Below are 26164 nucleotides of genomic sequence, written 5' to 3' on the forward strand. Positions count from 1 at the left end.
GAGCCTAGATTGCGACATTGCGCTTCAGCCTGGGCGATGGAGCGAGACTCTGTCTCAAAACAAACAATAATAATAATAATAATAATAATAATAATAACAACAATACAATGTCTGGGGTTTGCTTCAAAGTAATGTGGGATCTTACTATAGAGAGTGGGGACATAGCTGAAAGCCAAGCAGCCATAGATTGATTCTCCTGAAGCTGGGTGATATGTACATGGATTTATTATACTACTCAGTCCATTTTTGAAATTGGACATTATTGTATATTTTGCTTAACATTTCCATAAGTTTAAATTGGGAAAAATTGGCATCTCACTCAACATTTTTTCCTTTCAAGAATATTGTATATCTTTCCCTTACTCAGTTTGTTTCCTCTGGTATGGACTGGGAACTCTCATTTATACCAAATTATTTGTTAGGAAGATTATTTATGCAGTTCAAATGTTCCTTAAAATAATAAAAACCCTCATCAAAACAAAGACTCCTTTTAAGATTCCATCAGTGGTCATTTATTTCAAGCAATTTTAAACAATGTGTCCAAGTTCCACTATGGGAAAATATTTTGCTCAGATTCTGCAATAAAAGTTTCTTTCCATATTTAAAAATACTTATACAAAAAATACAAAAAAAAGAAAAAGAACAAAAACAAAAAAATAAAAATACACAAGTAAAATTTCATTATGAAAAATTTCATGAAATACTTTTAAAAAAATATTTTGGTTTAAATTAATGTATCCCTAGAGATCACATTCTCTGTGAATCTTGAGGTAAAAATCCTATTTATGTGCAGCTGAGCCCAATGAGGTAACCAGGAGGTGTTTTGAACTCAGAGTATTTATGCCTTTCACTCCTAGGCCTTATTTTTCCCAGGATATGATTTTGTGTCTTATTGTTTGGCTCATTGTTTGATGGGTTTAAGTGGTTTGGAGTTTGGCTTTGGGAACGTTTAATTGTTTTAATTGCTTAAATTCGATAAAACACTCAGCTAAACCATTCTCAGCCTGCAGTCTGGCAAATACCCCATCTTCATTTTAGTGGCTCTTACATGAATCAAGACAAGGAAAGCATGTTCACAAATTTGTTTGTTGCATAAACGTTTTGTAATATGTCAGGAAGTTTGTCTTTGCCTAGCAGAAGAGTCCAGGTATAATAATAATAATAATAGAAGAAGAAGAAGGAAAGGAAGAGAGAAAGAAAGAAAGAAAGAAAAAGAAAGAAAGAAAGAAGAAAGGAAGAAAGGAAAGGAAGGAAGGAAGGAAGGGAGAGAGAGGAAGGAAGGAAAGAAAGAAAGAAAAGAAAAGAGGGAAAGAAGAGGAGGAGGGAGGGGGGAAGAGGGAAGAGGGGGAAGGGAAAGAGGAAGGAGAAGGGGGAGGAAGGGAAAGAGGGAGGAGGAGGGAAGAAGGAGAAGAAGGAAAGAAGGAGAAGAAGTTTCTCTTAGGAGAGGCCATATCTCTAAACATGGAAGTAGCTTTATTGGGAGACCCCTTCATGGTGTGACTCTTTGAGGTGTGGGATTTTACCTGTTTGGGAAAATGAAGACTGGAAATCCCTGGTTTTCCTATGCTAGCTTTATTGATTGGTTTGCCATTCTTGTGATTTTTCCTTCTTGCCAGAGATAGACTACTGTGCCTCATCTAATCACGGATGTCAGCACGAGTGTGTTAACACAGATGATTCCTATTCCTGCCACTGCCTGAAAGGCTTTACCCTGAATCCAGATAAGAAAACCTGCAGAAGTAAGTTACAGTGGGAGTTGGAGAAGGGCTTGTTCTGCTAAATGCTCCTCTAGTTAGTTTTCCTTTCCGTGCAAATCTTAAGCAAGATGTGCTTGTATTCAGCATTGTGTCTATTAACATTATTCTCCCCTTTATTTTACTTTTTGGCTCACTAGATCCTATTATGTGGATGATTTTTAAATATTGAATAGGTCTGGCCATTAGATTCAATTAGCCAAGTGGACCCAAGCTGAAGCTCCCACCTATGTGAAATGCAGGTGCAGTCTCCCTCCCCCTTATTCCCATAGCATTGGGGTCTTGGAAAAAGAAAAGAATGGGCCCAGAGATGAGAGGTAGAAGGAGTTGGTTTCTTCTACTCCTACAAGATAAGACACTTGACGGATGCTAAGAGGGAGGACATTGCAGCTTTATTCCCTTTGATAGGAAAGAAGAAGAAAAATGAGACTCTAGGACATCCCAGCAATATTCAAGGGGTACAGGGTGTCAGCGGGTTGATATTGTGGATGTACTGAGTGCCTCAAATGCCTGTCATCTAGCACATCAAAGGGCATGATTGGGGATCTGAGCACAGGCCCCAGAGGGCACCTGCTTAAGACAAACCATTCCTGAGAGACTGCTAGAATGGACGGCCCACAAGGACAGAGACGATTATCTTTTTCTCGCTGCTGAATTCTCAAAAGCTCAAAGAGTGCTTGGCACTCATAGATGTGCACAATGTTTGCTGAATGGGAATGAGTAAGTGAATCTTTCTATGATGTATCATCCTGGAGAAATTGAAGCTATTTTTTTTTTAATTCTTCAATCTTGTTAGAAAGATAGCCTTTTTTAGGCGTGCAAGTTGTGAATTTTTTTTCAGAAAGTCTTTCCCTAGTTAGTCCACACTTATGCACACTGAATTGTTTGGGGTCTGCTGACAATGTCATTCGTAGAACTCTCTGGAGCTTCCATTGAGGGATGTAATTTTCTGTATGTTCCTTCACCCATTTCTTCCTGATGGTGTGTACAGCAGTGTTCTGCCTGGCAAGACTGCGTTTTGAAAGGTTTCACATATATCTTTTTTGAAAAGCACCATGAGCTATTTAACTGAATCCAGATGAGTCACATTCTGCTCATAGCACAGATTAACTTTCATACTCATTCTAGCAAGTGCTAAACTGTGTATAGTGGCAGATGGTTGCAAATCCTGGATTTTGAAACGGAGCCTGTCTTATAAAACTATTCTCACTGCCTTGTGAGGGTACAAACCCTGCACACATTCAAGCATTAAATGAAAATTTTAATGGAGAGCATTCAGAATGTGAAAACAATTAGATAAGCTATTTTTCATAAGACCACACATGCCTGCAATAGGTCAGAGGGCCAACTTTTCTGGTCTGGCCACTCCTCTGTGCTATTTACACCTTTTGCTAGGAGTGGGTGTGTGAGGGACTGGCTGCACCCAGGGGAAATCACTCCCAGGTGGACTCAAATTTGCAGACCCAAAGCTCTTCAGTGGGCGGTGATTAGATCTGGTTCAGCTCAGATGCTCATTGCAAGCTTCCTCATGTGTTACTAATGGAGGGGAAAAAGGAAACAAGTTAGGCTTGGGGCCATGGGCGGAGGACATTTTCTTGACGTTCTGCATGTCTTACCAACCATCTGAGTCCCTTAATTTCTGCTACTCCCTCCACACCCTTCCTGGAGAGGCACTTGGAATAAGAGAAGATCCAATGCAATGCAGGCATCATTATCATGGGAAGGAGAAGACTGAGAAAGGAAGAGCGAGTAGAGAGGGAGTGACCGTTTTGGAGTGGTCTGAGCGCTACAGATTGGTCCCCAGGTGGGCCTGTTTGCAAGCAAGCTGTGGCCCCGACCAGAGTCCCTAATGCTCATCCATGTATATTCAGTGGGTATAGCCCCTCTTTAGCCAGGGTTCTTACTTTTTCATCCAAGAAAAATGAAATTTGTTCCTAAAGGCCAGTGTCCTCATCAGCCCTCGCCCAACGTCCCGCCTCATCGTTACATTTTCCATTGTCTTTGCTGTGAACCCAACCCTGACTCCTGAGGTCAGCCTGCAGGAGCGGCCCCTGACTTCATGCTTGCACTCAGTCCATTAGGGCAGACAGCTGTAAACGGAAGCGAGTGCTCACTGTCTCTCTGGAGCATTATGTGGATGAAGGAAGCCAAGAAATTGGGTTTAAAAATCTGGAGTCCGTTATTAGAAGCCTGAGGTCTCTTGAGTGATCTGAGCATTACAAATCTTCAGCCCAGGATACAGCCATTTACGTTTAATAGGAGGTTGATGGATGTGGGTAATTTTCAAATCTAATATGAAATCTATTTTTAAAGGAATTTGATGTCATCGAAATTAAACTGGGGGAAAAAAGATCAAGGCAGAATCCTACTGAAGAAAAGATTCTTGGCCAGGATTTGTTCTTGCTCCTCATCTGGGCACAATTTCTCCTCATGGAGAGTGCTATCATCAGTTTAAGGCATGAATTATTAAGGCAGTAGTGCAAAGCACAGAAACTGCGACTGCCTTGCCTGCCCAGGTAGAGCCCTAGGGCCAAATCAGATGTGGGTTCATCCCCTGTGCTGGGCTCCAGGATCCCTGATTCTGGTACCATGATGAGTGCTCTCAAAAATTGGTGTGAAGCCCACGGGTTCGACTGAGCCAAGAGACGTGACGTCCAGGCTTGGCAATGTCACTCATATTGGTTATGTGACCCTGAGCAGCTACTTTCTACTTCTCAGGACCTGGATTTCCTAAACTGTAGGAACAGGACTTCCTGCCTTAACACCCTGTTGCCTCTCCAGTTTTTTTGAAACTTACTATCTGTGCACTCAGCTGGTATCAAAATGTACTACCTGGGGTCACTGATCTTTCATGGTTTCAGTCTTACCTGCTCAGGGCTCCAACTCTTTCACAAGTTAGCACTCAGAAAGATCGTTTGATTTGTTTTCTGACAGTCCTGTCATCTGACCTCACAGAGCTTTAGTGGACACTCTGGGCCTTACCAGATTAAGTTGTGTCCATCCTGTGGGTGCCATGTCAGAGCACCTATCATGGTACCAGATATAGGATGCACAGTAGGTCCTCAATAAATATTTAGTGAATGAATAAGTGAGTGAGTGAATATCTGAGAAGCACACACATGAGGAAATATGACAAAAGGGTGGTGAGAAGGCAAAGAGCCACTGTTAAACGTCTGCTAAAAAGAACCATTTGGAGAAGGTTTTTTTTTTTTTTTTTTTCCAGACAGAATCTCATTCTATTGCCCAGGCTGGAGTGCAGTGGAGCAATCTTGGCTCACTACAACCTCTGTCTCCCAGGCTCAGGTGATTGTCTCACTTCGGCCTCCCTAGTAGCTGGGACTACAGGCGTGCACCATCATGCCTGACTAGTTTTTGTATTTTTAGTAGAGACGGGGTTTCACCATGTTGTCCAGGCTGGTCTCAAACTCCTGGACTCAAGTGATTCTCCCTCCTCAGTCTCCCAAAGTGCTGGGATTACAGGCATGAGCCACCACGCCCAGCCGAAAAGGGTGGTATTTGAATAGCTGCCTGCCAGATTGCTGGGTGATAACCTCTTTAAGAATCTAAATGGTTTTCAGTTGAATTATCTCATGTGTAAATCATTCTTTAAAAAAAAAATCTTGCTGGGCGCGGTGGCTCACGCCTGTAATCCCAGCACTTTGGGAGGCCGAGGCGGGCGGATCACAAGGTCAGGAGATCGAGACCATCCTGGCTAACACGGTGAAACCCCGTCTCTACTAAAAAATATTAAAAAATTAGCCGGGCTTGGTGGCGGGCGCCTGTAGTCCCAACTGCTCAGGAGGCTGAGGCAGGAGAATGGCGTGAACCTGGGAGGCGGAGCTTGCAGTGAGCCGAGATCGTGCCACTGCACTCCAGCCTGGGCGACAGTGAGACTCTGTCTCAAAAAAAAAAAAAAAAAAAAAATCTTGCTTGAAACATTATTTACTAATTTATTTTAATTTTTTAAAAATGTTTTTCTTTTTATATTTTTATTGTATGTGCTGCTGAAGCGAGAGCTTCAGCATATTTTTTTATATTTTTAAAATTTTAAAAATTTTTTTTTATATTTTTAAAATTGTTACAACATAGTTGTACCTCTTTTTGGTATTTATTTATTTTTTAAAATTGACATAAAAATTGTATACTTGTATACAATATGTTGTTTTGCAATACGTAAATATAAATTTTTCTTAAAGACAACATTGGCTTTTTTAGTGTGGCAAAATATATATAACATAAAATGTACCATTTTAACCATTTTTAAGTATCTAGTCCAGTGGTATTAAGCACATTCACATTGTTGTGCAACCATCACCACCTTCAATCTCCAGAACTTCTTCACCCCAAACTGAGACTCTATACCCATTAAACAATAATTCCCCAGCTCCTCCTCCTCCATCTCCTGGCAGCCACCAATCTACTTTTTGTCTATGAATTTGACTATTCTAGGTGCCTCATATAAGTGGAATCATAGAATATTTGTCCTTTTGTAACCAGCTTATATTGCTTGGCATAATGTCTTCAAGGTTCGTTCAGTTGTAGGACGTGTCAGAATTTCCTTCCTTTTTAAGGCTGAATAATATTCCATTGTATCTATACATCATCCTTTGTACTCATCCTTTGATAGATCCCTGGGTTGCTTCCACCTTTTGACTTTTATTTATTAATGCAGCTATGAACTTGGGTGTGTATACCCAGAAATGGAATTGCTGGATCATATGGTTAATTCTATATTTAATTTTTTGAGGAACCGCCATGCTGTTTTCCACAGTGGCTGAATGCTGGGTTTTAAAAAGAGAGTTGACTAAAGATCATTTCACCTTTCCCTGATGGTGTAATGGAGTGATTCCTACAGGCAGTAGACTGCGGGCCCTTCCTGTTCTGTGTTTGTCTGTCTGTCTGTGACTGGTGTTTTATTGCCAGGCCTATTTTCCTCCATCAAAGCTCTTGGCTTGTTTCCTGGCACTCAGTTATGGCCTGCACAGGTGAGGCTGCTGATGAGTTTCAGGTAGATGAATAGAAACTGCACACAGCTAACAATATCCTGCCTCTCCTCACATGGGAGTGAGCTCCAGAGAGAGTGCCAAGGGTCAGTGACACAGCAAGGTGATGTCTTTTCTTCTACACCAGCCCTGCATGTTGTGACCTTCTCTCCATGCACTCTGTCTGCAGCCATTCTGCTCATACTCTGGGCATGAAGCAAGCTCCAGCCACCAGTCACCTGGGAGGGCACGTCACGGATTCTTTTTTTTTTTTTTTTTTTAATTTTTTAATTTTTTTAAAGACGGAATCTCACTCTGTCACCCAGGCTGGAATACAGTGGCGCGATCTTGGCTCACTGCAACCTCCATCTCCTGGGTTCTAGCGATCCTCTCACCTCAGCTTCCCAAGTAGCTGGGACTACAGATATGTACCACCATGCCTGGCTGATTTTTGTATTGTTAGTAGAGGTGGGCTTTCACCATGTTGGCCAGGCTGGTCTTGAACTCCTGACCTCAAGTGATCCATCCGCCTCAGCCTTCCAAAGTGCTGGGATACAGGCATGAGCCACTGTGTCCAGCCAGATCCTTTAAGAGACCCTTTGAGGGGTCCTTCAGGTCTGGGTCCCATTCACATTTCCATTTTTACTAGCAGTGGATCTTGATCAAGTTATTAACCTCGCTAAACCTCAATTCCTCAGCTTTGAAATATGGATAACAGGCCAGGTGCGGTGGCTCACGCCTATAATCCCAGCACTTTGGGAGGCTGAGGCGGGTGGATCACAAGGTCAGGAGATCGAGACCAGCCTGGCCAATATGGTGAAACCCCGTCTCTACTAAATATATAAAAATTAGCCGGGTGTGGTAGCGGGCACCTGTAGTCCCAGCTACTCAGGAGGCTGAGGCAGGAGAATTGCTTGAACCCAGGAGGCAGAAGTTGCAGTGAGCCGAGATCACGCCACTGCACTCCAGCCTGGATGACAGAGCGAGACTCCGTCTCAAAAAAAAAAAAAAGAAATATGGTTAACAATCACACATATCTTGCAGGGTCAAATGAAGTTATGTTTGTAAAGTGGTTGGCACAGCATCTGGCATTCAGCAGGTATTTAAGAAATGGCAGCAGCTATGATGCTATGATTATCATCACTAATGTAACTATCAGACTGCCACTAATAGTGAGAAAAATAAAGATGGCATGGTCCCTGCTCGTGGAACTCAGTCTAGTGAAAGAAACAGACTTTGAAGCATCACAGATACAAAACATACTACATAACCATTGTGATGAATGCTACGAAAGAGAGGTCCTGTAGAAAGAACTGACTTCATCTACGAGGTCACAAAAGATGACAAAATGATGTTGAGCTGATCGTGAAGGAAGATAGAGGTTAGCCAGTGCAGCAAGGAGCCACTGAGACAAGAGGGTGATGTGTCATATCTTTAAGTGATTTGTGGATGTGAGCTTCGTCAAATAACTTTTGGGCAGATACATGGTAAAAATAAAATCTAGTCATTACTTTATGATTTCAGATCATTTCCCCTGTATCAGTTATGGTGCTTTTTGTTCACACAAAACCGGAAATCCAATTAATGGTGTTTTAAGTCAGAAGGACTTTTATTTTTTACCTGACAAGTCCAAAGGTGGTTGGTCCTATGGATGGCTCAGTGACTCAGTGATATTATCAAGAACCCAGACTCTTTCTGTCTTTCTATTCTGGCAAAGTATGTTGCATTTACATTTTCATCCTTGTCACCTCTTGGTTACAAGATGGTTGCTGCAGCTACCAGCATCATATCCTTACACTACAAGACTCAAAGGCAGAAAGGACAGAGAGCAGAGAAAAGCATTTCTCTTTATACACTTTTGTCTTTTTTTTTTTTTTTTTTTTGAGACAGAGTCTCACTCTGTTGCCCAGGCTGGAGTGCAGTGGCACAATCTCAGCTCACTGCAACCTCTGCCTCCTGGGTTCAAGCGATTCTCATGCCTCAGGCTCCCAAGTAGCTGGGATTGCAGACGCATGCCACCATGCCCAGCTAATTTTGTTTTTTTGTTTGTTTGTTTTTAGTAGAGGTGGGGTTTCACCATGTTAGCCAGGCTGGTCTTGAACTCCTGGCCTCAAGTGATCTGCCCACCTTGGCCTTCCAAAGTGCTGGGATTACAGGCATGAGCCACTGTGCCTGGCCACCTTTGTCTTTTCAGGAAGAAAAATCTTTCTTGAGGGCCCCCAGTAAGCTTCTTATGTTTCATTGGTCAGAACTAGGGCATATTCCCACCCCTTGACCAATGACTGACAAAGAAGAACATGGTTGCCACGCTGGCTTAGACCAGCCATGACTCATGCTTGGGGGTCATGGGGTAATGGTTATTGGCAAGACAACCAACAGTGTCTGCCACATCCCCAGAAAAAGAACAATGCTGTGCAGTTAAACTGATCCAGCCCAGCCAATGAGGTCGGTGGTGACCTTTTCCCGCAACACCAGTCTCATAAAGCCTCTCCACAAGCTCATTTTGTGTCCTTTTCCAGTTCTCTATCTTCCCTGGAGCCTGCTATGTGTGGGGTCTTATGGCTTTAGCATTTTCTACCAGGAAAGGAATTGCTTATTGGCTCCTGGTTATGACACAGTTTCCATCTGCTGGCAGAAACACAGCATGGATAGAGTGACCTTACCATAGGACAGAATTGCAGTAGCCTGGGGCAGCATCAGAGATACGCCTCCTCCAGTCCCACGATACTATGCCAGCGTGGTCTCAACAGAGCAAGGCGAAGCATTTAGATCCTTCTTCATGAAACTGCCAACCCCTGCGTCCCTAAATAGCTGGATATTTTGCAAGATCACCTTTTGTTTATTTTGCCTTGTGCCGTCCAATGTCACTGTCAGATGTCACTGTAGACAGAAGCTCTCTACATGCTTTGAGCCCAAGTGATCAGGTTAACCTGAGAGAGATACTGGATTTTCTTAGCTTTTCCATCTTTCTTGGAAGGAGGTAGGCTGGGGAGCGTGGCTCTCACCCCAGCTCTCAGCTCTTTGGCCACTGACTCAGTTCAGCTCAGCTCAACTGAGCCTTGGCTTGCTCTTTGGCCATCAAAGAGGGAAAATGCTGGAGAATCCACAGGTATACTTCAGGTGCCAGGCCCTCTTTTAAACAAGCTCCTGGAGAGCAGGAGCTATTTTCTCTGTGTCCTGTAGCTCACCTGGTTTCCTGAAGATTTAGTGAAGTTTGCCTGCCTTTCCACCTCTACTGCAAAGTCTTCTTCAAGACATAACCCTGGCCTTGTCACCTCCACCAACATTCTCACCTCTAGTCACCTGTTTAGAGCCTTCACTGATCCATCCTGGGGCTTGCAAAGCCCGCACGTCCAGTCATGCTCAGGTGGGCCAGCTCCCTCTGCCTCCCAGCCTCATCTCTCTCCTCACACTCCAGCCATACTCAGCTCCTCACAGCTCCCCAGGCATGCCCCTCGCCCTCATCCCCAGGCATTTGTGTTCACTGTCCCCTCATCCCTGGGCGTTTGTGTTCACTGTCCCCTCATCCCCGGGCATTTGTGTTCACCGTCCCCTCATCCCCGGGCATTTGTGTTCACTGTTCCCTCATCCCCAAGCACTTGTGTTTTTTGTCTCCTCACCCTCAGGTGTTTGCGTTTGCTGTCCTCGAGTCCTCATGTTCTTCTTCCTGTTGAGCTCCCTTACCTATGGAACTCCTCCTCCTCCCTGGGGCCTCCTGTTGGCCTTATCTCTTCTTGGAAGACCCTCTCACCCCAGGACTCAGTGAGGCCCCTGCTCTGTGCTCTGCATTGTCTTTTAGTTGCTGTCCTTGTCTGACTCCTCACCAGAGCCTGAACCCATTGAGGCAGGGCCTCCATCTCAGTCGTCATTAAATCTCTGAATCTAGCTCAAGGCCTGGCACTTGGCTGGCAGACAAACGAATGAATGATCCGTCCCGGCTTGCCTCAGCAGGCAGCACCCACCAGCCCTCTCCATGGGGGCTCATGGGAGCCCCGAGGGGCTGCCATCAGCCCTGGGAGAGGTCCAGAGTCTGAAGGAAGGTCTGCCCTTCTTCCCCTCAGGGATCAACTACTGTGCACTGAACAAACCGGGCTGTGAGCATGAGTGCGTCAACATGGAGGAGAGCTACTACTGCCGCTGCCACCGTGGCTACACTCTGGACCCCAATGGCAAAACCTGCAGCCGTGAGTGTACCCTAGGGGTGGGGTGCTGATGGAAGGTGGGGTCCACTCATGGGGGCGGGCGGGTTCACTAGCAACCAGTTATTTCTGGAGCCCACCGGGTTTCCTGATGGTCTGTCAGGTGTATCCTTCCTTATCCTCAGTTTCATCACCCATAGAATGTGACTATTAATGCTATCGGCCTAGCCAACTTGGGTTGCAAGGATTAAAAGAATTAATAGGAATAGGCTGGGCGCGGTGGCTCACGCCTGTAATCCCAGCACAGGGAGGCCAAGGCGGGCAGATCACCTGAGGTCAGGAGTTCAAGACCAGCCTGGCCAACATGGTGAAACCCTATCTCTACTAAAAATACAAAAAATTAGCTGGGTGTGGTGGTGGGTGCCTATAATCCCAGCTACTCGGGAGGCTGAAGCAGGAGAATTACTCGAACCTAGGAGGCAGAGGTGCAGTGAGCTGAGATTGCGCCATTGCACTCCAACCTGGGCGACAAAGCAAAACTTCATCTCAAAAAAAAAAAAAAAAGAATAGGAGTAAAATACTTAGAACAGCACTGCTAGGCATAAGCACTCAATAAATGTTAACTAATATTAGTATTTGCTGTTAAGTGTATTTACTAGGTCAGACAGGTCTAATTTCAAATCCAACCTCTCCCACCTACTAGATGTGTGTGAACTTGGGCAAGTTATTTAACTTCTCCATGCTTTGATTTCCCATTTATGACAAAAAGCAAAACTAATAGTCGTATTATTCCCACAGGGTTTTTATAGGGAGAAATAGGAGCCATTTTGATATGTTAGCCTGGTGCCTGGCACAGGGTAAACTTCCAATCAAGGGGAACTGTTCCTATCATGGAGCCTGTGAGAGGGGCCAGTGCCTGGCGCCAGACTGGGACAAGAGGCCGGAGGGGACAGACCTTGGAAAGCAATGGGCTGCAGAGGCTGATCTGAGAGCAGAATCAAGAAACATGGGATTTTCTGAGAAGGCTTGTCTTAATTTTCTTGTGTCAGAGCCACAACAAAGCTCCACTGGGTGATGTAAATGTATGGGAACTTGCAAGCTCTGCCAGCTGGGCGGCTCCATGGTTTTTTATGAGGCACCATCTCCACGGGTCCTGGCCAGCAGGATAGGAGCGCCTGAGTGTGGTGATGGACCCTATGCCCTTGGCATGCGGGAGAGGGGGCCCATCTCCATGACATGGCCTATGCAGAAGGGGCCCTTTATGTGCCTTTCCACTCAGCAAGCCCCACATCTGCTCCCTTTGGAGAAAGAGATAGATTGTGAGTGAGGACAGTGCAGCTGTTGAGCCCTGGGCTCCACGCTGCCAGCAGGGAAGTTTCCCAGATGAAATAAGAGGTCCAGGGCAGTCCTCAGGAAAGCGTGGCTCCTCCAGTGTCCAGAGAGAACAAAGTGCCCGGTAAAGGCTTTCTAAGGACTGATCTCAGAGGCCAAAGGGCTTTTGAACTGGAAAGTGGTGCCAAAGTCAGTGCCTGCTGTACGTTGCCTCTGCATGTCTCTGAGTCCTTTTGAGAGGCCAGCGGGGAGCGGGTCTCCCATTCAACAGGAGATGCCCTGGTGACCATGGATCTGTGTGTATCCTGCCTGTTTCCCGGAGTGTCAGGTCTGCCAGCTGATGGCCCTGGCAATTTTCCCAGGGCAGGTGGTCCTGACCTGGCTGAGCCCACGCAGATCACCAGGGACATGGCTTGACTGCCCCTCCCAGCATGCTTCCGGGGGCCAGAAGAGCTCTAAGAACGGACCACAAGAGATCGGGACCCTCCCTTCTCTCTGGGATCTAGTCAACTCTAAGAAAGTACAAACCAAGCTGTTTCTGTCTCGCAGTCCTTAGAGAAAGCCACAGGCTTCTGCTTTCTCAGAGGAATCAGGGAGCCCAGGCCATAAAGACAGCAAGCAATTCTGAGGCGCTCACTCTGTGCAGGCAATGCCCTGAGCACTTCCCATGCATAAACTCCCTGCATCCTCACAGCCGCCCTACTGGGCACCCACATTCTTGTCGCTATTTAAACAAGGGCAAACTGTGACACAAAGGGATTAAGTCACTGTCCTGGGGTCCTGTGATTAACAAATGGCAACACTAGGATGTGAACACAGGCATGTAGCTCCCAAGATCCAGCAAGTGTTCGCAGGAGATGCATCCACCAGTGGAATGTTCTGGAAGGCACTGGTCCCAGACTCTGCGGGAGTCAAGAGGCCCACTTGGCAGACCTGCACCAGGCCTCCAGTGTCTGTCCAGTCTCTGGAGGTGCATTTTCTCCATAAGGGAAACCTGGGAAGCAGCCTGCAGGGCTGTTAGTGGGAGCTGTTCACCACAGCTGTGTGTTCATTAGCCTTCGGCACTTGCTGCCCGGAGGACCAGCTGTGCAGCATTCGGATGCCAGGATAGGCCACACATGCAGTCCCAGGCTTTGGTTTGTTTTTTAATCTGGATGTCCTGATAATGGGGGTAAAAAAAATAGAAATTGATTTCATGGAGAATGACAACTCTTTTTCATTTTCAATTAGAAATGAAACTATATGACTAATTCTTACTCAGCACTACTTGATAATAATAGTGTGTTCATTAAGTGGTTGCTGTATGCTAGCTACTGTTCTGAGCGCTTTACATAATCAACCCCTCTTATTCTCACCCTATTCCTATAAGAAAGCAACCATCAACATCCACATTCACAAATCAGGAAACGATGGCAAAGAGGCCGTGGGACTGCCCAGCATCCATAGCTAGGAAGTGGCAGAGGTGTGATTTGAACCCAGGTAGTTTGATGCCAGAACCTGCATTCTAAGCACTACTCTATTAGCTGTGTGGCTTTGATCTTGACCTTCCTGAGCCTCACTTTCCTCTCTGTGAAATGGGAATTGCACCTGCTCTCAGAGGTGCCCTGAGACTGTGGATTCTGTGCGCCATGGCCCTGGCAGAGTGCTGCTGTCGTCAACACCAGGGACAGCATTCCCCAGCCATTGGAGTTGTATGCTTTACCCTTCAAAGAAAGAAATGGGAAAGAAGGCTGGGCATGGTGTCAGGCACCTGTAACCCCAGCTAGCTACTCTGGAGGCTGGGGCAGGAGAATCGCTTGAATCCAGGAGGTGGAGGTTGCAGTGAGCCGAGATCTCGCCACTGCACTCCAGCCTGGGTGAAAAGGGAAAGAAAACCAACAAGCCAGGCTGATTTTCTAGAGGGATCAGTGATGTGGGGTAGAATGACACCTTCCCTGTGGCTTGTTATGCCTCCGGTTTTGTTTTTGAATCTTGGTTGCTGGTGGGGTATTGCCCCCTCGGCTCCTCTATGCTTTCGCGTGTGTGAAAATGCAGGAGTGGACCACTGTGCACAGCAGGACCATGGCTGTGAGCAGCTGTGTCTGAACACGGAGGATTCCTTCGTCTGCCAGTGCTCAGAAGGCTTCCTCATCAACGAGGACCTCAAGACCTGCTCCCGTGAGTCCCTCCGCGCTCCTCTCATAGGGGAAGGTTTGCACCAGGAGTGAAACCTATGTGACTGCAGAGGGCACAGGTTGTACTTGGGCACCCCTCCCCTGCCCCTTGCTCTGCTCCAGGAGATAGTGAGGATGTCCACTGGGACTGCATGCCTTCGAGGGAGGGCGGGGTGAGCATGACGGTCACTTGATCCAATCACTGTCGCCCAGAGGTCTCACTGATAAAGGGCTGCCTGGCTTTTGGTTTTGCAGGGGTGGATTACTGCCTGCTGAGTGACCATGGTTGTGAATACTCCTGTGTCAACATGGACAGATCCTTTGCCTGTCAGTGTCCTGAGGGACACGTGCTCCGCAGCGATGGGAAGACGTGTGCAAGTAAGTGTCTGAAGGACAAGCAGGACCTGCACAGGTGTTCCGTGGGTGCCGGTGTGGGTGCGCTGCCGACGTGTATATGTGCCTGTGTGTCCTGTCTCCAGGCTTTGCTGGGCCTGCATGAATGTGTGTGACAGCATCTCTTAGCCATTAAGCCTTGGTGGCTGCTTCACCAACTCCCCTCAATCTTCCTTCCCCCGTGCCCTGAAGTGGCTTTTTGCTGTTTCCACCTCCCTGTCATTCTGAAGCTGGACAGAGCCCTTGTCCTCAGCTCTCTCTGCTCTACCCCCAGCCAGCTAGTATGGCACATGAATAATAATAATGTGGACCCCTCACTGACTGCTAGCTGCATGCTGGGCACTGTGCTAAGCACACATGCTGTTGCATTCAGGGGACAGATGAGGAAAAACTGTAGCTCAGATTAAGTAAAGAGCCTAAGGTCACCAGCTAGTGAGTGGTGGGTTCAAACTCTGCTGGCTGTGATTCCAAAGTCAGTCCTGGGAGAAGAGGATGCTCCTGAGAAACGCTTTGCCCTGCTTTCTGACCCCGGTGATCTCACAGCACATGGTGAGGCTGGCAGTGATGTGTCCTGGGTACATATTTCCTTGCAGCTGGTCCCAAATCTTGTCTCAATTAAAAAAAAAAAAATTGCTCCCAGACCTCCTTCTCTCCTTTACTGAAGAATGCTGGTGTGTTTGTTGCCCTGAAATCCTGTTTCGAAGTGGACCAAGATAAAGAATCGAAATATGGTCATTTTGAGAGAAGGAATCAGAAATGAAAGAAAAGGACCACCATTTATCTTCCCCAGCCTGCTGGTCTTTCTGGTTATAGGGCCAAGTTCCCTGACCACTGGTATAATTGTAGGCACAACCTAATTTATCCACTTTTTATATCATCTATTCATCTAGGCAGATGAGCTGGCTGCACAGCTGGGCGTGCCTCTCTATGCTGCCTGTGAGAAAATATTTCCAGTTTGGGACAGATCCTTGGATCTTAGCAAATGGGTTATCCATGTTATAGCTTTCGGTGGCTCCCTGCCCAGCTGCCTCCCAGACTGCTGCTGCAGCCAGCTCAGGGAGGGATCGGGCACAGGGGGTGCAGAAAGAGGGTGGGTGTGTTGAACTGCATCGACATTGACAGCATGCCAAAGCCAGATGTAAGGGGTTTGTTGGTTTGTTTAATTCTCCATCATTTTAGATTATTCTGAGAATAAGAGGAGTCATTCTTCTGTCCACCTCGTTCCTGTAATAATCAAGAACTGACTACAAGATGGTTGTAGGACCCTACGAAATTCTCATGAGCCCTTCTAAACAAATGCAGCTCCATCTCCTTTGAATCAGGTGCCCCTTCCTCTCCCCTGCCCAGGTCCACATCTGGATTTTGACCTGACCACTTTTAAGTGTTGCCCATTTTCTCATTTAAAGTGGGTTTCTAACCAATGGCACAGTGGAACCATCTACATGAGTAAATGTCCAACAATGCAATGAATAGTGAATTTTGTTATTTATATGTGGTTGTATCTAGATGAGAACTTGTGAGATAGTCAGATAAGTGAGAATTGTCCTCAGGAACCGTATAGGAGAGATGCATTTCACCCACCAGCTGATACATATGCATTGAGCTATTCCCCTAATTGAAGACTTTCTGCCTGTCCCAGAATGATTCATTCTGACTGTCCTGTCCTGTAATAATGGGCTAGGTTTTCAGCGTGGCCACAGCTAACTGGGGGTTGGGATGTGTGTTCCCCAGCTCTACTCTCAATGACAAAGGGCCAGACGACATGACTGCACCTATTTGGTAAAGCCTTTTGGGGGGCAGTCAGGCCTGGCTCAGCAGATAAGAGTGTCCTTGGCTCTTTATAGAGGCAGCCTCCACTTAGAGCTTTGATAGCAAGTGGTCTTAAGAATGTGTCACTCACCTTCTGGAAAGTTCTCTGAAGTGTGGAGGGGTTCCAGGGGCCCTGGGATGAGATGGGCACTGCTGTGCCCCTACCTCTTCAGGCACCTTGGGTTCTCTGGCCTCTGGAGCGATGTCCCCTCCCTTCCTCCAGCCCCCTGACCGCAAGCTCTGCTTTCCCAGATTTTCCCCAGAGGCCTTTTTGCCTCGGGCAGTTAGATGCACAGACTCAGGGTGTGGGGGGTCGGGGAGGGGATGGGGCGATCTCTTTTACCAGCTGCAGCTGCGCAGACTCCTTCCCTCTCTAGACGTTTCCCTGAGATTGACCTTGTGCAAGGGCATCCCAGCACCAAGAAAGACTCTATAGGCCTGATGTGCATGGACCACACTGCCCACTGGCCTGCAAGCTCCTGGAGGTTGGAGGTCAGAGGCCAACATGAAATGACTGGGAGCGTGAATGGACAGAGGCCACCTGTCTTTTTGCCCCACGGCCCCTGGCACAGGGTCCGCTCCCCGCTTGATAACCTTCAGTGGCTCTCCACTGTCTCCCAGAATAAATTTCCATTGCACTCCTTGATTTGGCAGAGTGCAGAACCCCCTCTTCCACTTCTTTAGCCTCACCCCAGGCCCTCCCTGAAGCCGCCTCCTGTTCTTTAGCCAAAGTGGCAAGTCCCCCATTCTCTGAACAGGCCTGGTGCCTTCCAGCCCATCCCAATGTCACCCCCATGGGTAACCTCCTCTCCCACCTGATAGGCTCTCCTCTCCTCCTCCCACCCCAGGCTCTGCTGGGGCCTCTCTGCAGAGCTCTCCTGCCCAGCCTCACCCTGGGGCTCTCTGTGCACATGTCTGAGAAACAGTGTGGCAGAGCAGAAAGAGTACTGAACTGGAAGCCCAAAGACTGGGTTTAAATCGTGTCGCTTCTACCCTAGGCAAGGGAATTGGCCCTCTTGGGGTCTGACTGCTCATCTCTAAACTGAGAATGGTCGTTGCTGCCTTTCAAGGCCACTGTGTGGTTCAGGGAGACTGCTGTTGCAGTGCTATGTGAACTTGTGGACTGCCGTGACCCCTAAGGAATTCCTCTTCCTCTCTCCCCTCCCAGCATCAGAACCCCCTGCACTGAGGAGACTCAGAAGGTATTGCTGCCTGGAAACCCATCTGCCAGGGCCAGGCCTGCTCTCCTTGGAGGGGCCCCAGAGACACACAACTCTGGAAGTGGGCTGGACTCAGGAGTCCAAGGGCTGTCCTATGAGGGACCCTCCCTTCTGCAAGCGGAGGACACCAACGGGGATCAGAGCCGTCAGCCTAGGGCACTGGGGGATCTCTGCTGGTGATACTCCCAGTCCAACTACCACAGGCAGATCTGCGAGGGCCTGTTAGGCTGCCTGAGGCCCTGAGCTTGGCCTTCCAGGGCTGAGGCAGGCCTAGGCGAGGCTAGGGGAGTGTCTTAGTCTACTCGGGCTCCCATCACAAAATACCATAGACTGAATGTTGTTTCTTAACCACAGAAATTTCTTTCTCACAGTTCTGGAGGCTGGAAGTCCAGGATCCAGGTGCTGGCATGGCTGGGTTCTGGTGAGGGCCCTCTTCTTGGTTTGCAGACAGCCAGCACCCAGCTGTGTCCTCATATTGCATGGGTTGTAGGGGGTGAGAGAGCAAAAGAGTGCAGGCAAGTTCTCTGGTGTCTCTTCTTATAAGAACACTAATCCTATCAGGTCAGGATCCTGCCCTCACAACCCCATCTAAACCTAATTACCTCCCAAAGACTCCACCTCTGAATACCCTCACATCAGGGTTAGGGATTCAGATGTAAATTTTGGGGGAAACAGTCTGTAGCAGGGAGTAGGGGGAGGGGACCACCCTCACTCTCATGTATTCACATTACAGGCTTGATGCAACAGAAGGAAACTAGAGATTTTCCCTTATTTTGTGGGAAACGGACACATGGAGGAAAGTGATGCCTCCAAGCTGGCCCTGGTCGGGGAGTCAGTGGCAGAGCCAGGACCAGAGCCGAGTCCCCTGATTTTAGGATCTTTTGCCCAGTGTGAGATGCCCTGGAAAAGCACATCTCAGTTCAGCTGCTTCTTGGTTTGTCTGAGAAAAAGCCTATATTAAGTTAGCAAAGGATTGGCTGCTGCTAGTTTTATTACGAGAAAAGCCAGGAAGCAGTGTAATTCTATCTGTCGGCTTCTGGTTACTGTCTTGGCAGATGGCCACTGTGGCTTTCTCTCTCTGGGGTTGGGGTTGGTTTTAACAACGTCTTATGTGGAGCCCCAGACGCAGGATTGCTGTCTGTCATCACGGCAGAGGTGCAAGTCCACAGAACACGTTGCCCCACTGTTGCTGCGCCACAGACTTACGTGACTCACCTGTGTCAGCGTGCAGGGCTGCTAGACAGGGACCCTAAAGACCCGTGCTACATCCTAAAACTTCTAATCATCCTGAGCACACGCTGCAGAATCCATTCACGATGAGGGTTTAATTAAACACATAGGCCTGGGTCCTTATGTGTAAAAGGAGGAGAATCCTTCTTTGAGAGGAAAAATGTTTTCTTTCTCCCTCTTGAGATTTCTTACATCCTCCCACCTATTTCACTTAAGTGATGGCTCCTAATGGAGTCTGTCTTTACTCTCCTCTCTGGGTTTGAATCTAGGTACTTCCTTAAGCGCTTGGTTCCTTTACCCTCGTTCTCTACAAATATTTACTGTGTACCTGCATTGTGCGGGGTGCTGGGGATCTCTGGGGTTGATGCAGATTCGGTTTGTGCCCTGACAGTGTTTAAAGCTTCTCGGGGAAGAAGGATAGCAGAGACAGCGTCCATTCCTTATGGTGAGAGTGGTGATGTGAGAAGGATGGAGCCGTGGGAGCACCCCCTAGTCTAGAGAAAGAGAAGTTTAATCCAACACCCAGAGGAGGGGGCTGTGGGAGCCTCCCCTAGTCTAGAGAAAGATGTTTAATCCGACACCCAGAGAGTGAGTACAGTGAGCCAGCCAGAGATGGAGGGGAAATGCTTCACTAGGGGCCAGAGAGCGAACTGCAGGAAGTTCTGTGCTCTGAGTACGGGGTACTGAATGCGAGAGGGAGGCGGTGGGTGAGAAACGAGCCTGGGGACGCCGGCGGGACACATCACCCACCTACAGCCTTCAGAGACTTCCTGGCTGGCCTCTCTTGAGAAAATGATTTTTGTCTAGTTTGTCTTCTGAGAATCTGCCAGGCTGCCTCAGCACACTCCCTTAAGCTAGGATGATCTGTGGATGTGCAGCTGGACCAGGGACACGGAGGTCTATTTGAATATAGTCCCATCTCTGCCCCCAGGACAGCTAAGACCAGTCACCTCTGAAGGTTCAGGGACATTGGGAAAGTCACTTCCCCTCTGACCATCAGTTTTCTCATCTTTAATGAAGGGGTTGGACTAGTTCATATCCAATGAGTTGAACTTCCAGCACCCAAACAAGGATATTGCCTGGCTCAGATAAGTGCTCCGTAAACACTTGCTGAATGAATGGACTTACTGTGGTGCCCACCATAGTCTCCCAGGCTGAAGACACCCAGTGGTACTGAGTCAGGGGTGGTGGCTCTGTTTGCCTGTTAGGGGACCACTGAAGCATTTTCCTATAGGGGAGTATCTTTGCCCTGGGTAGAAACTGACTCCAAGTTGGTTTCCAGACTTGGTGGATAGAAAGCTAGCGCCTATGGTCAGGAGGTTAACTATCATCCACCTTTGGCATTCTCTAATTTCCCATCCACGGTTCTTTGAATTTATAAGTGGCCCAGAACATCCCTGAAGGGCAGAAACTGGACATTTTGCTGAACAAATGTGAGTCGTGCATTTTGCAAGGTGGGTGTGTGGGAGAGAGTGGGAAGCCTAGCTGGCCACAAACATCCACACATCCCATGGGGTTCTTATTTAAAACATCTGCACAAAACCCCTGTGAGGTGGATCTAATTACCCTCAATTTTCAGAATAGCAAACTGAGGAAATGTTTCCTTTTGTTCAACAGGTCTTTCCTAGGGATCTGTTAGGTGCCAGGCATTATGGCCACTGCCAACATCTCACCTCTGATGATTCGTTGAAATCATCTATGGGGCTAGGAAAAAGTCTAAAGGCCCAGGCAGCATCCCAGAAACCCTGAATCAGAAACAGAAACAGAGACTGTCTTACATTGTTGGTGAGAGTAGAGATTGAAATAATCTCTTTGGAGGATGACTTGGAAATATTTATCTGCCTTTAAGTATTCATACCCTTTACCTAGGCAATTCTGCTTCTGGATGTGTAACTTTCAGGTATGCCTTCACATTGTACATAAAACTACATGCACAAGAATATCCATTGCAGATAAGGTGTGGTGGCTCATGCCTGTAATCCCAGCACTTTGGGAGGCTGAAGCGGGAGGATCACTTGAGGCCAGAAATTTAAGACCAGCCTGGGCAACATAGTGGGACCCCATCTCAACAAAAAATATGAAAATTAGCTAAGCATGGTGGCATGCACCTGTAGTCCCAGCTACTCAGGAGGCTAAGGTGGGAGGATCACATGAGCCCAAGAGCCAAGGCTGCAGTGAACTGCGATGACACCACTGCACTCCAGCCTGGGCGACAGAGCAAGCCTGTGTCTCAAAAAAAAGAAAAAAAAGAGCCTTAGCTGAAGCTAGGAGGACAGGACTGGGCACAAGGGAAGCTCCAGGAAGGAAGGGCTTAGGGGTCTGTCTGGATTATGGCTTGACAAGGTTGACGTGAAAGAGCTATAGCTATTTTATTACCATGGAAAATGGAGTAGTAGTAGTATTATAAATTCACGGTAGGGGGAAAAAAAAACACCTCACCTCCATGGCCATCCAGTTGTCTATATCATGGATCACTCAACTCTACTTTCCACTCTTACACCATGTGAGGAACTATCCCAAACCATCAGGAAATGTTCTGCATTAATAGTGAGTCTAGAATTTGCTGAGAAAAGCAAGTCATGCTCAGGGCAAACAGGAGGGTCCAACTCGGCTTTGAGCCTCCTCTGCAGCTGTAATTGCAGTTATCAAACTTTTCCCATTCTTCAAAGATTTTGGCAGTGCTTCTCCCCAAAGAAATTCCCTTCACATTTGAAAGCTTGCTGTAGAATATAGCAATGTAGTATAGTCAGAAAATACGGGGATTTATTTATAAGATTACAATTTTTGTCTGGTTCTTTCTCTTGTTAACAATTGGTCTTGACAAGCCATCAGCCTTCCCAACCCTTAGTTTCCCTAGCTGGTGAGTGAGAATAACAACAGCTGCCTTAACTAACCCAAAGGTGGTTCTGAGGAGTCCTCTCCAGAGAGATACTGCAAAGATGCTTTACCAAAAAAAGTGTGTGGTTTGTGCCTGATTATAAAGGTCATTATGTGCTTTGGGGCCTTTATTTAATAATTCCGATTCATGTCCATTTTAGAAATTCTACTCAATCTGAAAGGATTGAGTTAACTTTCAGAAATATGTAGGGTTCTTATAAAAAGTCACCACTCACCTATCCTCAGTATTAAGCTTTTAAAGTAACAGCCTGGTTTTCACAGGTTCACAAACCTTCTAGTCCCCCAGAAGCCACCCAGCCCTGTAAGATGGCAATGCCATCCTTCAGTTGCTCAGTCCAGCAACCTGGGAGTCTTCCTTGACTCTTCTGTCCTATCCATATGGGCTCTTTGTATTAATCCATGAACAAATTTTATAGATTCTACCTTAAAATACAGCCAGTCTGACCACTTCTCACCAGCCTGGTCTGGGCCACCAAGATCTTTGCACAGGGCTGCTCCCAGGTGTCCAAGCTCCATTCTGTGCAGAGCGATCCTTTAAAAACAAACCCATATCATGCCACTCCACTGCTCAAAACACTGCAGTGACTGCCCTTCTCTTTCAGATCTGACCCCCACTGTGAACCCCACATGGTCTGCCCCAGCCAACCTTGCTGGCCTCATCCCCTGCCAGGCTCCCGGATGCTCCAGTCACAGTGGTCTCCTTGCCTTTCCTGAAACACACCAACCAAGCAGCTCCCGTTGCTGCAGTTTGCAAATGCTGTTCTTTCTTGCTGATAATGCTCTTTCCCAGACACCACCACTCACTTCCTGTCTTTCTGCAGGGCTCTGCTCAGTGTCACCATATCTGACACACCATATAATATAACAAGCCCTCCCTACTCTCCAGCCCAGTAGCCACTCTCCATCCTTCTATCCTGCTCTTCCTCCATAGCACTTTTTCCCACATGACATATCACATATTTGTCTGTTTTCCACGCATCCCTCTTCTCCTGACACCTGCTGCCAAATGTAAGCTTCACAAAAGCAGAAACTTTGTTTCGTTCATTGCTATATCCCCAGAGTCTAAAACAGTGCCTGGCTCATTGCAGGGACTCACAAAATATTTGTGAACTGACTGAATACATGAATGAATTGGTTACCTAAGTGTAATATATACATACATACATAAGTAGATATGTAAATAAGTTGATATTATAGTTACATAATAGCCAGTTAGGTTAATCTTATTTTCTAATATTTACAAGTAATTTATCTCTCATTCTGTAACTTGTATTCTCATGTTTTTTGTTCATTTTTCTTGTGGAGATGATTTATATTGTTTGATTTTTATGTGCCATGTGTATATTAAGAATTTTTGCTCACTTTGGGAGTCCGAGGTGGGTGGATTGCTTGAGCCCAGGAATTCGAGACCAGCCTGGGCAACATGGTGAAATCCCGTCTCCACAAAAAATTAGCCTGGTGTGGTGGTGCACGCTTGTAGTCCCAGCTATCTGGGAGGCTGAGATGGGAGGATCACTTGAGCCCGGGAGGCAGAGGCTGCAGTGAGTTGAGATCACGCCACCACACTCCAGCCTGGATGACAGAGTGAGACCCTTTCTCAAAAAAGAATTTTTGCTCATAGACATGCTTTATATTCTGAAATGTGTACTGTAGGATAAGGCACTGTTTTAATTCAAAGTGTCTGAAATGTCTTTTATGATTGAATAAGCCACTAATATATGAGTCATTTTCTTCTTCTGTTTCTCTAATTCCCATTTGATTCTCAGAATTGGACTCTTGTGCTCTGGGGGACCACGGTTGTGAACATTCGTGTGTAAGCAGTGAAGATTCGTTTGTGTGCCAGTGCTTTGAAGGTTATATACTCCGTGAAGATGGAAAAACCTGCAGAAGTAAGTTTGTACTGGAGCTGGCTCCTACTACTATGCCAGACCACTGTGTGAAATCGCTATCCTTATCTCTGTATATATCAGTTCCTCTCAGAAGTCAATGCCACACAGCAAAATGTAATGTAGTGTCCTGGATAGGACCCTGAAAGAGAAAATGGACATTAGGGAAAAAATAAGTAAATGTCAATAAAATATAGACTTTAGTTAATAATCATGTATCAGTATGGGTTTATCAATAATAACAAATGGACCATACTCATGTGAGTTGTTAATAATAGGGAAAACTAGGTGTGGGGTATATTGCAATTCTTTGCGCTATCTTCTCAATTTTTGCGTAAATCTAAAACTGTCCTAAATAATAAAGTCTATTAAAAAAATGGACAAACAAAAAAAGTCAATGCCAGAGCTACTACTGAAGTTCTTCACTTATATGCTCTGTGGCAAGAAACAGTGGTTTGGCAGTATACTCTAGTGGAAAGATGGACAGTCAGAAATCCAAGATTCAGTCAACCTCTGTCTCTGCCATTTATTAGCTGGGAAAGTTGCCTAACTTCTCTAAGCCTCTCTGCTTATTTATCTTTAATAATGTTGTTGTTGTTATTTCTGGTAGCACAAATCCCTCCCAAAGGGCACCTTGTGATGAAGCCAGTTTTGCCTTTCAGAAGGCAAAGCCTCTTAGATGGGGCTGCAGCCAGCCAGCCCAGGACAAGCAGCCTTAGAGTGAATTGCTGGTGTAAATCTCAAGACACATCTCTGAATAATCAAAGGGGAGTGTGTGACCCTGGTTTCCATCCATATCAGTTATCTTTTTCTCAACGTCTCAAAGCACTTTATAAAGAGCAACTCATGTTGACACTTTTGGAAGAAAAGATGGGTAACTGGAATAATTACTCTCTCATTTTTTGGACAGCACAGCTAAGACTCCAAGAAGTTAAGTGATTCTCCTAAGTCATACACTATGTTAGGCACAAAGCCAAAGTTAGATTTCAGTGCTGCTAATCTAAATTGAGGTTTAACCTCCTAAGGAATCATATCAAGTGTTTCCATTCTGATATCAGAAACTATGTCTACAGAAAGTTGATGATGGACTGCATTTTAACACTAAAGTAGTGCTGGTGAACGATGATGGTGAAGACAGTGAAACAGTTTGAAGGGTTAGCCCGAATTAGAGCCGCTAAACTTTGTTCTCAATTGTAACTTCCTGCCCCATGGACCACTGAGCTCAGGTGGCAGATAGAATCCAGTAGCTGACTCCAGTGGATGGGTCCTCCAAGGTGAAGTCCATGTGAAATGTATGTTGTTGAAATTGTTGTAACTTGCTCTCCTGTCTTCAGGGAAAGATGTCTGCCAAGCTATAGACCATGGCTGTGAACACATTTGTGTGAACAGTGATGACTCATACACGTGCGAGTGCTTGGAGGGATTCCGGCTCGCTGAGGATGGGAAACGCTGCCGAAGTAAGTAGCCTCGAGGTGGAGAAGAACTTTTCCCTCTGTGGACTCAGACAGTTAGAGAAGTTCATTTAATCCTTAAAGTCCTCCTTTATTACCACTGTCACAAGTGTCAGTTCCTGCCTTGGGTGCTCTGAAAGTGTTTAGCTAGAGATCAGTTCAGTAGCCCCTTGCTTTTTCGGGAATTTCTCAGTCAAGGCCTGAGTTTTGGGTTCTTTGCTTCTCTTCATTTTCTGCCAGCCATCAGCCCTTTCCACAGTAGCTGTGTGGGTGCCCGGAAACTCGCACAGTGCTAGTCACTGGACTGAATTAGAACCTCTGCCAGCAATCACTACAAGGACTGAAGGTTAATTACAGAGCTTTCTCCTCTTGGCAGACCGTAAAAGTAAGGGCAAAGGGTGAAAGGGTGTATTCGTCCATTTTCACACTGCCGATAAAGACATACCCGAGACTGGGCAATTTACAAAAGAAAGAGGTTTGATGGACTCACAGTTCCACTTGGCTGGAGAGGCCTCAAAATCATGGCAGAAGGTGACGGGCACATCTCACATGGTGGCAGACAAGAGAAGAGAACTTGTGCAGGGAAACCCCCTTTATAAAACCATCAGATCTTGTGGAGACTTATTCACAATCAGAATAGCACAGGAAAGCCCCGTCCCCATGATTCAATTACCTCCCACCAGGTGCCTCCCACAACACGTGGGAATTGTGGGAACTACAATTCAAGATGACATTTGGGTGGGACACAGCCAAACCATATCAGAGGGATTTCCTGTGGGTTTTTTCTATTATTTTTATCATTTGCTTCTATAGGTCACCCAGAACAGGCTCTGAGAGTTTCGTTAGAAGGTGTATTCCCCAGAGTTCTCCAGAGAAACAGACCTTCTCTATGTATATCTTCATCTTCTATTATATAT

General features: G+C 46.5%; 1 protein-coding gene across 4 annotated transcripts in view, besides 4 other annotated features; it reads left to right on the forward strand.

The window, feature by feature from the left end:
* The window catches only part of MATN2 (matrilin 2), a 167661-nt gene that overhangs the window by 123800 nt on the left and 17697 nt on the right, over window positions 1-26164 (forward strand). For 3 of the 4 annotated variants that reach the window (NM_002380.5, NM_030583.4, XM_005250920.3), the window contains exons 7-12: window positions 1617-1739; window positions 10798-10920; window positions 14242-14364; window positions 14616-14738; window positions 23677-23799; window positions 25131-25253. In NM_002380.5, the coding sequence (NP_002371.3) occupies window positions 1617-1739; window positions 10798-10920; window positions 14242-14364; window positions 14616-14738; window positions 23677-23799; window positions 25131-25253 (738 nt within the window). The remainder of the gene's footprint in view (window positions 1-1616; window positions 1740-10797; window positions 10921-14241; window positions 14365-14615; window positions 14739-23676; window positions 23800-25130; window positions 25254-26164) is intronic. The other variant, NM_001317748.2, reaches the window with a different exon arrangement.
* Window positions 14528-15028: an enhancer, noted in NCBI's record as "H3K4me1 hESC enhancer chr8:99019619-99020119 (GRCh37/hg19 assembly coordinates)". NCBI's record gives its function as "activates a minimal SCP1, AML or CMV promoter by ChIP-STARR-seq in primed H9 embryonic stem cells {active_cell/tissue: H9 hESC(primed)}" and the evidence as "EXISTENCE:reporter gene assay evidence [ECO:0000049][PMID:30033119]".
* Window positions 18013-18671: an enhancer, noted in NCBI's record as "H3K27ac-H3K4me1 hESC enhancer chr8:99023104-99023762 (GRCh37/hg19 assembly coordinates)". NCBI's record gives its function as "activates a minimal SCP1, AML or CMV promoter by ChIP-STARR-seq in naive and primed H9 embryonic stem cells {active_cell/tissue: H9 hESC(naive and primed)}" and the evidence as "EXISTENCE:reporter gene assay evidence [ECO:0000049][PMID:30033119]".
* Window positions 19921-20090: an enhancer, noted in NCBI's record as "experimental_103766 CRE fragment used in MPRA reporter constructs". NCBI's record gives its function as "activates a minimal promoter by MPRAs in K562 erythroleukemia cells, with activity observed for both the introgressed and non-introgressed 8:99025097 variant alleles {active_cell/tissue: K562}" and the evidence as "EXISTENCE:reporter gene assay evidence [ECO:0000049][PMID:34662402]".
* Window positions 25901-26070: an enhancer, noted in NCBI's record as "experimental_103770 CRE fragment used in MPRA reporter constructs". NCBI's record gives its function as "activates a minimal promoter by MPRAs in K562 erythroleukemia cells, with activity observed for both the introgressed and non-introgressed 8:99031077 variant alleles {active_cell/tissue: K562}" and the evidence as "EXISTENCE:reporter gene assay evidence [ECO:0000049][PMID:34662402]".

The sequence above is a fragment of the Homo sapiens genome, chromosome 8 (assembly GCF_000001405.40).
Source record: "Homo sapiens chromosome 8, GRCh38.p14 Primary Assembly".
Classification (NCBI taxonomy): Eukaryota; Metazoa; Chordata; class Mammalia; order Primates; family Hominidae; genus Homo; species Homo sapiens.